The sequence below is a fragment of the Homo sapiens genome, chromosome 7 (genome assembly GCF_000001405.40).
Source record: "Homo sapiens chromosome 7, GRCh38.p14 Primary Assembly".
Classification (NCBI taxonomy): Eukaryota; Metazoa; Chordata; class Mammalia; order Primates; family Hominidae; genus Homo; species Homo sapiens.
The window spans coordinates 70,281,664-70,294,547 of NC_000007.14; the positions used below are offsets into that span (position 1 = coordinate 70,281,664).

General features: G+C 37.1%; 1 protein-coding gene across 26 annotated transcripts in view; it reads left to right on the forward strand.

Moving 5' to 3' along the window:
* Positions 1 to 12,884, forward strand: part of AUTS2 (activator of transcription and developmental regulator AUTS2) — a 1,195,032-nt gene that overhangs the window by 683,189 nt on the left and 498,959 nt on the right. Inside the window, exon 5 of one of the 26 annotated variants that reach the window (NM_001127232.3) lies at positions 8,705 to 12,576. The exons of the other annotated variants lie outside the window; for them this stretch is intronic. Within the exon in view, the coding sequence (NP_001120704.1) occupies positions 8,705 to 8,845 (141 nt within the window). The 3' untranslated portion in view covers positions 8,846 to 12,576. Of the gene's footprint in view, positions 1 to 8,704; positions 12,577 to 12,884 lie in introns of those variants that run through there. 26 annotated transcript variants of the gene reach the window in all.

Sequence of the window (12,884 nt, forward strand, 5' to 3'; positions counted from 1 at the left end):
CAAATGTACTTACTTGTTGTAAACATTTAATATTTGTTTAGTGCTTTGAAGATTCGGAGTAATGTTTCAGATCTACATATTGTATCAATAAGCAAATAACATATGCTAAGCACTTAAAGGCTATTGTCATTCTCCAGCTAGTACAGAGCAAATGTGAAAGGGTAAAGACTATGTAATTTCAGGTGCGGTTTCAGTGAGGAAGCCAGAACAGCAGTCTACTCTTATCTGCTGCTTTCTTCCACCCCAACCCCCTGACCCATAACAACAAAAATCAAACCCAGAACAAACCGCATAGATTGATCAAAGAGCATAACATGCATTGTTAGGATTTCAGATATGTAGACAGAAAGTCAGATTAAGCTTTAATGATAATTTTGAGTTCTTGGAGCAATGCTCATTGATTACAATGTGTGTGTGCTGGGGAGCAATATTTGGGGTACCCATACCTTCCCTGGGCATGTTAACCTTGTGGGGCTTGCCTTGTTTCAGAACATGTTTCCTATTAAAAAAAGATGACTGTAAAATCGTAGGCCTTTTCTAGCATGCACCTCAAAACTCTTCCAGCCTCTACCCATCACCCAGTTCCAAAGCCACTTCTGCTTCCACATTTTAGTTATTTGTTACAGCAGTACCCTCCCTTCTTGGTACCAGTTTTTGTCTTAGTCCACTCAGGCTGCTATAACAAAATACCAAAAACTAGGTAGCTTATAAACAACAGAAATTTATTTCTGACAGTTGTGGAGGCTGGGAATTACAAGATCAAGATGCTGGCAGGTTCACTGTCTTGTGAGGCCTAGTTTCTGGTTGTAGATGGCACCTTCTAGCTGTGTCCTTTACATGGTAGAAGGGGTACACGAGCTCCTAGGGCCTTTTTTCTAAAGGCACTAATTCACTCATGAAGGCTTCACCCTCATGACCTAACCACCTCCACTAAAGGCCCACCTCCTAATACCATCACCTTGGTAGTTAGGATTTCAACATGTAGATTTTGAGTGGACATAAACATTCAGACCACAGTCCCTGTGAAGAAGGTATTTGTTATTCTGGCAGTGCAGGAGCAAGCTAGCACACTTGCCATATTTAGCTGATAGAAGTAATGTGAAATGAACCGTTAGGAGGAGGGATTTTGTGGAAGAAGGAATGGCGGACTGAGCAAGATAAAATATGGAGAATTGCTCCCTCTTCAAGAAACGCCTCCATCCTGATGTATATCAGCTTTCATATCCCCATGGATATTTTACAGGCATTGCTACCTCTTTAAACATTTATGCTATTAAAAAAATCAGACCAATTGTTGACATAAAGCTAACATAGCAGCTTCTATATAGACAGAATATGAATTTTTTATGCTGTTGATGAGAAGTTTATGTCATTTATATACTATAGTAGGGTAGAAGATGGATTTGGAATCCTGAAAAAGCTACTGTTTGTACCATTCAGAATATTAGCTTGTGCTTTGAATCGAAATATTAAGATACCTGTATTGTCAATGTGAGTGTTTCTGTGCAAAGTGGCTTACATATGGGTGGAATGGGAGAAATTGCTCTACCTGGAGAAAATAGCAATAGTTTTCTTTCGTTTATGTTTTGTTTTGTGAAAGGAAGGGTTAATAGCATTTAATACCTGATTTATCTGTGCTTCTCTGCACCATTAAAAGAATGAACTGTTGTGGTAATAAAACCATATTTCATTGAATTAAAAGTGCCATCACTTGCAAGATGCAACATTATTTTATGTACCTCTAAAAAACTACACTAACAAACTGACATGTCAAACTGACATGCCATTGATGTTAAGATGCATTCCAATTTCAGAGATGTAAATATACTTTAAAATGTATATCTTGGAATCAATGAAATACTGCATATAGTTCTTTTGTGGTATGTGTATATATGTATGTATACACACACATATATACATATGCCACAAGAGAATAAAGTATACTTCTATTTGGTTATAGTCTATAATATTTTGAATCATTTTACTGAGTTAGGTTTTACTTATTTTTTAAAGTTGCTGTTGACATCTGTTTGATACCATTCATTTAACATGGCATGAATTTAGAATCTCTACTTAGAATAGTCCTTTGGAAGCCCTAGTTTGTTGAGTTTTCAAAAGAAAAAAGAGTCTGGTGCAAGGAGGCAGACTGACATTCAAGTCAGATCATTTTTTAAAAAAGGAAAGAAAGGAGGGAGGGAGGAAGGAAGAAAGGAAGGAAGAGGTTCATCCTGTCAGTTAGGAACCAGCTATCTTACTTTTCAAAGACAAAATCAGATCATACTAGTATATCACAATCCCGTAGTTTATCTAATTGCATATTTATAATTCTTCTTGGATGGTGTCTCTCATCTTGGATTACCTCTCTCACCCAAAATCATATTTTATTTTGTTTTGTCATTATAAAATTTACTATATGATCATTGCAAAACAAAAACAAAAAATTACCAGTACATATAACAATACTGGATGTCATATATTAAGTTCACAATAAATTATGGCGATTTTTCCACATCAATACCTTATCTTCATGTTTCACATCAATACATAATCTTAATTTTTAGTGACTGCATATTATATCATTGTATAGTAAAACATAATTTTTAACCATTTCCCTATTGATGGACATTTAGATTGGTTGCAGTTTATCACTTTAATGGCATGGCTGCCATGTACTTTCTTTTTGTCACACTTACCCAGTGATCATTTTAGGATCAATTCCTAGCAATTTCTGGATTGCTGGATCAAAGGCTCTGTCTTCATGTTATTATGTGTTGGGAAGGGACCATTTCCTCATCTGTTCACCAATACAGGATATCAGCCATCTCCCACCCCACCCCATCTTTACCTACTTGATTGGTTAAAAAAAAAATCTATTTTTGTTTTTATTAGCATTTTTAAAATTGTAGTTGAGGTTGAACACCTTTTCATATGTTTTGGCCTTTTCAGAGTGGTTCTTGATAATAGAAAGCACAGCAGGTCAGAGAGCAAAAGGTCTTAATGAACTTCCATTCTGCTTCACAGAAGCCTATGAGGTTTTGAGGTAACTTTCTCAAGTTCGTTATAAAGAAGATGAAACTGATAGAAAATAACTGTGATGTAGAGATGGGGTCTGGCCCACTTTCAGCTGGTCTACTCTCCAGCACTGGAAAGGAAGACTGAGCATCAGAAAGCCAGGGAAGATCCCTCCAGAGGTCCAGGATTGTTCTGAGGAATACTGAAATCAAAAACTCTAGACTCCTTCCTGCTTTCTGAGATGCAGGGATTTGACAGAGAGGTCAAAAAAGGGCCCCTTTCCTCTGCATGTGCAGCTTTTATTTACTATTGTTTCCTTTTTGTTGTATTGAAATGTCTTCATTGCTTGCCTTTATGGATACAAATAACCGGATACTGTAATTTGAAAGTAGTTAACAATGAAACTGCATAGTATGAGCCATGCTGATTTTTTTTTTTAGTGGGCAAATGGGGTGATTTCTCTATGAGCCTCTCTGCTGTCAGAAGCTCTTAACATTTGAGTCAACATGGGAATTATATTTGGAATAAATTAGTAAATTCCCATTCAGCATGCCTATACCATGTAATCTTCAGGAACCGTAATGACTGTGTAGTAGAGTATATTTCCAACTTGGTATTTATAAAACACATTTGCTCTGAGAAACCCTTCAGTATTTGTTCCTCAAGGCCCAGCCCTCATGCTGCCTCCTTTGTTAGTCAGTGTTTATTTTGTAATAGTTGGGACAGTGTTGTACAGTGGAAACCCATTTGTCTTTGGAGTTAGCCCAGACATAAATGGACTCTTAGGCCTGCTATTTACTAGCAGTATTCTCATGTTTGGAAATCAGGAGCAATGTAATTGTTGAGACAATTTATTTTAATGAGAGTAAGTCATGCAGTAAGCATCAATCTTAGCACATATACATGTTGTCTTTTTTTGTCTCCCTGAAATCTTCTTCAGCTGCTTCCATGTACTGATATCTTCTTCCAAATTCCTTAAGAGCCTTCATCTGGGTCATACATTGACATTTATTTGATACTTAATATTGATAGTTATCTCTTGATGTTTGTGTATGTCTTTGTATCCATAGGATCCTCCATTAGCACATGTATTCATTCATCAAATATTTATTGAGCCACTTCTGTATATTAGGCATAGAGTAAGATGCTGGAATATGTTAATGAACAGGAGATGTGGTCACTGTGCCCTCCTAATGCTTACATCCCAGCAGGCAAGACCTATATGAAACAAAGTTTGAATTACTAAATGAAAGACATGGCAGTTGCTATTAGCAATGTTGTAAGGGGCTGTGAATGTAGACTAGCTTGTACATGACATTTGAGCTGATATCTATTGGCTGAGTAAGAGTTAGCCAGGTAGAGGTGGGAGTGATAAGTCTTTAGGCAGAGAAAGCAGCACGTTCAAAGACTCTGAAACAGGAAAGGACTTGTTTCAGTGGTGCAATAGAGGATGAGCAAAATGTTCTCAGAGAATGGAGTGCAGAAAGCAGGCCTTCAGAGAGGTCATTGGCAGCGTAAAAATGGGGTAAGAACGGCAACCTTGTGCAGGGTCTTGAAGGCCAGGTGTAGGTTCCAGTCTGTCACCTGAGAGCAACAGGAAGATACTGAAGGGTTAAAGGTTTACCTGTGGAAGAGTATCAGTAAAACATAAATGGATAGATTCTAAGTGAGTCTACTTTAAGCTGGAGTTTGGAGTCGCAGGGTCCTGCGTGTGTACCACCATACTCTCTACACTTTTAAAACTAAAACAGAAAGTATTCTAAAACATAAAACAAAACTGGATTGTATTTTCAACTGTTCCTTCAACTCTGAAATACTATGATTATGCTAGAGTATGAGAAATTTTATTTTCCAAACAAATATAAAGATGTATTTCTGATGAAAAACATTTTCAACCTAAGCTAAAAGGAAATCTAATGAAAACTTTAAGGATCCTTTAAAATACTAATATTGTGTTTAAAGAGAAAATGATACTTGTCTTTAAAATGTTTTAAAACATTTAAAATATGCTACTGAATATAAGTGAAGAGTGGTAGATCCTAAAGTAGTATTTCTTAGAAGAGTAGAATAGGTTATTTCCAAAATCTTTTTCATGGAATTTTAGTGAAAGCTACCATAGGGATCATGTTGTCCAGCCTCTTTGTCCTTATAAAAACATCAATATCTTCATAAATCAAGAAAATGAGTCCCAAAATTGGACACATGAGCTACCCATTTTCTAAGATTTTGCTGAACGGAACTTTGATCATAGGGGTCTCTTTCTAAGGCAACGTATTAGAAACTCCCAGCATCACTGTATTCCTTATAAGAATCATATTTTTTACATTAATCTCCAGAATCAAACTACAAGACAATTAAGTTGTTGCTTTTACCAGGTTGAAACTTGCCTTGATTTACTATGAATGTTGGTTGCCTTGATTTCTTCTACTTTTTGTCTCAGTTCTACATGTTGTTGTTCTTCTGGTTTTGCTCCTTATGAGATTCGCTGGATCTCTGTATCTCTTCAACTGTGGTGAGTTTCATGGACAGGGTCAGAACTTAGGGAAATGTTGAGAATAGGGTGTGGTCCTATGATGGGTCCTCCTCTTCTTACACCTTCGACTGTTGTACCACTCTTTGATGTTACAAAGATGAATGACTTGTGGTCCTTGGCCCAGAGTTTCATATTCTGGATAAATTATTATTTATTTGTAGTGTACTTCTATATTTTTACATGCTGTCAGAATATTAGAAATACAGTGTTTCCTGTCAGAAATGCCAGCTGAGCAAAAGCCAGTAAGTCAGATACTAATGAATGGATTAGCAAATTATAGGGACTAATGAAATTAAATAAAGATTATTCAACTAAACTAGTGGCTCCTCCCAGTAGTTTAGAGCGTTGCTGACCACCTTCTTTTTGTCCACTCACATATTAGAATTAAAAATGTCAAAGTAAAATTAAAATAACATTCTCACCTACAAGAGGTAGGGAGAAGGAAAGTAATATTTATCTTTAATGTTATTTTCAGTTGTGCATTTATTATGTATATTTTTGCATAAAATAACTTGTAGTTTTTGTTTGGACAAGCCAATCAAATGAGTCTTTAAGATGAAGAAGGAGAGCGAACCCACAAGAGATGAGTTTCGTATGTCTTCTCAAAAAAAAAAAAAAATTTTTTTTTAGCTCACCAAAAAATGTTATGAAATGAGAATTTTGAAACCTTACCTGTGGAAATCACAGTGGTAATACTTATATTTCAGCCCTTAGATATTCCCAGTGGTGTTTTGATCTTAGATATTCCCCCAAAGGTGTTGATTAGATTCTGGCTACAGCTGAAGGAAGAGAATTTTTGCTTTTTAGCTGAATAGTAAAACAAGCCTCTAAAGATATGAGGCATGGGGGAAAAAAACTAAAGGCTTCTTCAAGGTGGTGTAAGGGCATAATTTTTGTCATCTTTATTTTAAGAGCTCTACCAGGCCAGACGCGGTGACTCACGCCTGTAATCCCAGCACTTTGGGAGGCCGAGGCGAGTGGATCACGAGGTCAGGATATTGAGACCACGGTGAAACCCCATCTCTACTAAAAATACAAAAAAAATTAGCCAGGCATGGTGGCGGGTGCCTGTAGTCCCAGCTACTCAGGAGGCTGAGGCAGGAAAATGGCGTGAACCCGGGAGGCGGAGGTTGCAGTGAGCCCAGATCGTGCCACTGCACTCCAGCCTGGGCGACAGAGCAAGACTCCGTCTCAAAAAACAAAAAAAAAGCTTTGCCAAAGGTTTCCCCTTAGTAAAGAATTTAATACTTGAAGTCATCAGATTAGATTTCAGACTTCATTTACCCGCTCTATGCATTTTTTTCGTCTTCCTGGGTTTGGTCTGCCTGTGCTTCTTAGTCTACAGGTGTCTTTTCTCTGTACTGCCAACCTCTAATTGGAGATTTATTAGGTGCTCTTAAGTAAGAGAGGAGGAAGGCCAAAGGAGACAGAAAATGGAGAAGCAAGAAGAAACTGATCAAGGCAGGAGAGGGAGGAACTGGAGAGGATGGAGATAAAAGATGTATAAATGAAGACAAATGGAAGAACAATGAGATAGAGAGGCCTGAATGGTAGAAAAATTCTAAAACTGAGCTAGTGAGAATGCATATAAAATAGGGGTCTGGTAGAAGAACTTCAGCAAAAGTGGTGTAAATCAATGATGAGTAAATTAATAGGGCAATTGTGCAAATGGGACTCACTCATTTATACTAAGCGTAATACATCATGAATGATTTAGAGATAATGCAACCCGTAGGGCATACCTTTTAATCTACCCAGGACCCGGTAGAGAATGCTGTCACTTCAAGAGTAAAAAGGCAGAGGATCAGAATATTGGGTGTGTCTCTTCATTCTAACAGTGTTAATGAGATAGATTCTGAGCAACATGAAAATTAACCAGACTCACAAGCTTAGTTTGTGATTTATAGATTGAAAAGAAGCTTAATATATTCCAAACATCTTCCTACAAACCCAAAATATTTAAGTGTTTTGAAAGTATTCATTTGAATAGGTTAACATGTGTGATTGCCATGGATGGAAATGAAAGTAAAATGAGTCACTGCACATATGATCCAAGGAACATCTGAGTGTTAAGTGGGTTGTAACTGCATAAGAATCCAGTGCTATTGGAAGATGCATCAGAGTATTCTGAGACCAGGGAATAAAATTCTCTTCCATGTGCTCCCTTCTCTTTCATTCGTGTGCCTATTCACTCACCATTCAATAGGTGTCTATCGACAGCCTTCTGTGTGGAAGGTACTGAGGAATGTCCTATGGGTTGCTGCTTCTACCTGAAACAGAAACATAAGATTTACATCCCTCAGGCCCTCTTACCAGTATTTTTATGGGAGGATATTGAGGAAGGGAAGGGAGAAAGTGAATATAAGAAGTGGAGAGAAGTCTTGGTTTATAGAGCTGTTAGGGTTCCAAGTCTGCTGTTCTTTCTTGATTCAGAAATGGAAGCTCACAAAGGTTGTGTCTGGACCAAAGACCCAAGATAGTTGGAGTGTTGAGGATTAGATGATTTTGGGCTTCCCTTCTAGTTCATTCTTAGAATTTATTCCCAGTTTTTGTGTTTATGAAAGTTAGAGATACAGTCTTCAACCATTAGGAGTTAGAGGTGAAAATAATAGTAATTGGATGTTACCAAGTATGTAAACACTTGTAGGGAAGGGAAATACATAAATAACTAAATTCTCTATTAAATTCTGATTCTGAAAACTTCAAAACAGACCTAATTTAGTAAGAGGGGCTGCATTTTTATATGTGATCCCACAGAATGCTTCTAGACTTCTGTCACTGATGGGGAAAAATCAAATTATTCAAAGTCTTGCACCATATAACAAAAAAGCTAAACTAAGACGAGATTTCAGGGAGTATAGAAACCAGCAATTTGTGAAAAATCTTGTGTATGAAGAGTCATGATGTAGAACATTCAAACAAATGGATCACAAGAGATTTCTCAAAGCATGTCTTAGAGGTGAGCAGGCAGGCATCAATTTTAAAATTCTCTGTTATAAATGATCATAAGCTTATGTTTTTCTGTGTAAAGGAGAAATAATTTCCCAATTTTATAAAACAAATTACCAATGATGTAAAAAAAACATTTAGCACAGTATTATATCAGAGGGCATTTAACATTCTTTTGAATCATTTGAGATTTTCATGTTTCCATTTCAGAGATCAGGGAAGATGTGCCTTGGAGAGGAAGCATGTCTTAAATCTGGAAATGATATGAAGAGGGATGTCAGCAACACTTCATCCTGGGCCAGTAATAGGGAGAGTTTCTTTTCTCTCGTCAAATTGCTTAAAGGATTCTAGTTCCGTTTGGTGTGGTCACTCACATTTGAATTCTAATACTCTATGTGATATAGATTCTGTTGACTACTGTTAGCGTGACCCCAATGAGAAATTAAACACTTCCCTCCTTTTCATTTGCAGTGTGTTTTAGTTTAACCTTCATTTGTTTCTCTTTTCTCCATTCCTCATCCCAATTCAGGTATCAGATCCTTTGACAATTGTTAACCTGCCCAGCTGGGATTTTTGGCATTAAGCTATGACTGTAACGTTTCTACTAATAAATTAGATTTTTTAAAAGAGTGCTGCTTGCCAAGAAGCAAAGTCATTACATAGTGTGTATATGTTCAATGTATGGCTATAAAAGTCTCCTTAGCCAAACATAATCGACAGTTAAAATAAATTTAAAATAACCGTGCTACCTCTAGATTTTAAAATTGTTAAGGTGAAGATAGGTGGTCTAATTTTACTCTATTTCCATTTTTCTTATTCACAGGGTATATTTGTTCTGTAAAACCACATATGTATCTTATAGTCTGCAGCTGATGTATTTATCTGCCTAAATACACATTTCTCCAATGGAATATTCTGTAATATCAAGCATTTCTTTTTTAGATGGAAATTAATTTTATAACAGTTGAACATCATCTTTGTCAATCAGCAGCTTTATCTACCATAAAGAACAAAAACGTACTTGGCGTGGCCTGCTTTAACTTTTGTAGTTCCTATGTTTAAACTGAACAGAGGAATATTATGTGAACAAATTGGAAAATTATATAAAGAAATAAAAATCTTTTTACTATTATAGTTATCTTTACCCCATAGCTTTCAAAAAGGCATTTGAAGCAATTTAATAAAATAGGAATAACAGTAAGTACTAGATGTGAGAGGTGAGAAAACAACTTTGTAAATCACCCATCTCACGAAGTTGCACAGAGGTTCCTGATAGCCCAGACAATGAAATAATGTGATAATTCCTATTTTCAGAAAAGATAACTAGCTCCTTATTTTGTTTTGGGTGTAGAATGGGGGAAGTGGTATATTTTTGCTAAGTTCTAAATTCTTAGGAAAATGTTCACATGGGTTTTGAGAGTCACTGTATAACTGACAATGTCCCCAGTTACAGATTTCCAGAAAATTCAGACATGGAATTCATGTTACTCATTTTAGTTCTAACCTTTGATGAAAGATTAGGGCATTAGATTGAAGCTTAAGTAAGCAAAGGCATTCTTCAGGTGATGTGGTTCATTCTAATCAGTAATTTTATGATGGTGTTCATATTCCATTCCAATGATCAAATGGACTAGTAAGCTTGAGAAATAAGACAAACTAGAGAGAGAGATTATTTTATAAATATGAAGGAGGCTAGTGAAATTTTGGTCCAGATGGAAAGCCACCCACTCTCCCAGGTCAGGACTGCATAGATGAAGTATAAGCAAAACCGTCATTCACACTTTGAAGGTGCTGCTTTAGAGAGATGTCATTATATGTGGTGTCAGATTTTTCACCCTGTTCAGTACTGGGCACTGATTTTTAAAACCACTTATCTATATTTTTTAAATGTCTTCTGACTCATTGGATTGATTTTGTGGACCTACTGGTAGTCTTTGGATATCCCCCAGTTAATCTTTGCTTCCATGATGAGCATTTATTGAATTCTATTCTTATGCCAGGCACTGTACTAGATTTTAGGAGTACAGTAGTCAGGTTTTCCTTGCCTTCATGGAGTCTCTGGTCAAATACTTTGGTTCTTATATAGCGGTTCATGTTCCGACACGTGGTTACCCACACAGGCTTTAGTTAACATCTGCATCACCTGCTGCACATTCTCATCTAAAATGCGTATGTGAAAGTACAGTTGTAGCCACTCAGTGTCACTCACCAGTGGGGCTTTAGGCCTGAGACTTTCCGATAGCCTCTAATTATGTAAAACCATGCCTGTATTCAGGAGTCAGAAGTGATCAAAATGTTTTAGGAAGCACACCGTCAGCATAGATGTGTCAACTCAGCAGCAAGATTTTTCATTCTTTTAAAGTTACACATTTCATAAAGAAGAAGGGTATCAGTGTAAACTTCTAAATGCAGGACAAAATGCATGATTGGGGATGGAGATTGGAGTGGACTTGTTCAAAGAGCAGCAGCAAATGAGACATTAAAGGAATACATAGGAAGCCACTTCCAAGTACTTCCATTTTTCTTTAGTTGTGATTGTGAGATGGTTCCCTACTAGTTAGAGAAGGAAAATTTTAAAATGCTTTGCTAAACAGATGATCCTTAAATTGGTCACTGTATACCGTGATGCAGCCTAATCAAAATGGTATTCCTTTGAGTGAGTGAGCCACAGAGACTCTCGCCAACCCCTTGTGCAGCTTTCTATTAACAGTATAAATACTCCATTGTTGTAAAGCAGTTTATGGTTAACAAAGCGCTGTCACAGACACGTTATCTTAGTTTTGCAGATTGCCTTTGTACATGTTATTCTCATTTCCTAGCATGCCCTCTATCCCTGCTTTGCCTGCTTAGCAAGCTCATTCTTATCCTTCAGGACATAACACCAACTCTGCAAAGTCCTCTTGAGACCCTTCTGAGCAGGTAGATGGTCCCTTCCCCGTACTTACACAAGCCCTGATCTCATCTCTGTTGTCATTTGTTCACATCACTGTTTCTCCCTGGAGACTGAGTCTCTCAAGGGTAAGGACACTGTGTGCTCTTCATTTTTCTTCCCAGTGCCTTTGTAACCAGTCTTCCTGGGGGATACTTTGTAAGTAAAGGTGAATACTGTATGGTGTGCAGCTTAGGAGAGCTTAAGCCACTTCCTAAGTTAAGATACTAAGTAGTAGATAAGAGTAAAACTTAAGTGTCTTAACTCCTGTTTTTATCGGTTTTTCTGGTTTATCAGTTTATTGCTCATCTGAAAACAAGCTGTCCACATCATACTCATGCTGTTCTACCTGTCAGAGATATATTACATGGTAAATGTGAGTGATAAAGGAGGATAAGTTCTTTGTCAGAATGAGGACATTTCGGTTCTGTCATCATGCCTGAAATGCATGATTTCACATGATTTCCATGTGAAATAAAACATTGGTATAAAAGGGATATGGACAAATTTGTGGATGTTAGAACCACACCTTTTTCTCTGAATTTATTTTCTTCTCACTCCTACTTGGCATATTCCCTGTCATTGTTTGAGAGTGTGCACCAATGTCCTCGTCTCAGGGACACCATTTCTTTCCCGCTATTAGAGTGTCTGGATGATGCCGTACCCTTAGTGCACTGTCCTGTTGAAAATTTGGTACATTAGTTATTTTAAGGTTTAAAAACATTGCTGCCTACATAATATTCCACCTCTTTGGAGCATTTGCATTGGAGTGACCAGTGGCTTGAAGCTCTGTATGGTGGAGTGACTGATGGTAGTTGAAGACTGCAAAAGTAGGTATCTGAGGGCTGGAAGGCATTCCTGGCACCCCTAAAACTACCCCACTGGGGGCCATCCAAGCCTGTGATTAACAAACCCTAGTTATTTGCTAGGTAGTTTCCACATGGCATAGTAGGATATATATATGTGAGGCACAATACAGTGTTTATGTGAGAATAATATAGATTATTTGAATCTAGGCTGCAGAACCTACCTGAAAATGGGTTTTACAGTTTTGTGTAATTGCCTTTTCTTTGTGTTTGCATAGAAGGCATTGCATAGCTGGAAGATGATGGCAATTATAATTTATTATGCTGTAATTGTTACCTAAATGTTTTTGAATAAGCAAAAATCACATCTGTTTAGGAATAAGTTGCACAGCAAGAGAATTCCCTTTGAAATGAATACCGTGTTCTCATATTCTGTAACTGTACACATAAAACAACATATTTATTTCCCCACTGAGTCCATTACATTCCCAAGTCAAACTGCATCCTCTCTTCCTTTCCCATATTAAACCCTTTGATTTAATGGAGGTTTTAACTACTGGTTCTTTAGGGAATTTTCAGTAGGCTTTGCACAGATTAGGTTATTGGAAAGTATAGTTATTTGCTTGTAAAGTGGCAGTTCTGTGTCAAAATTGCT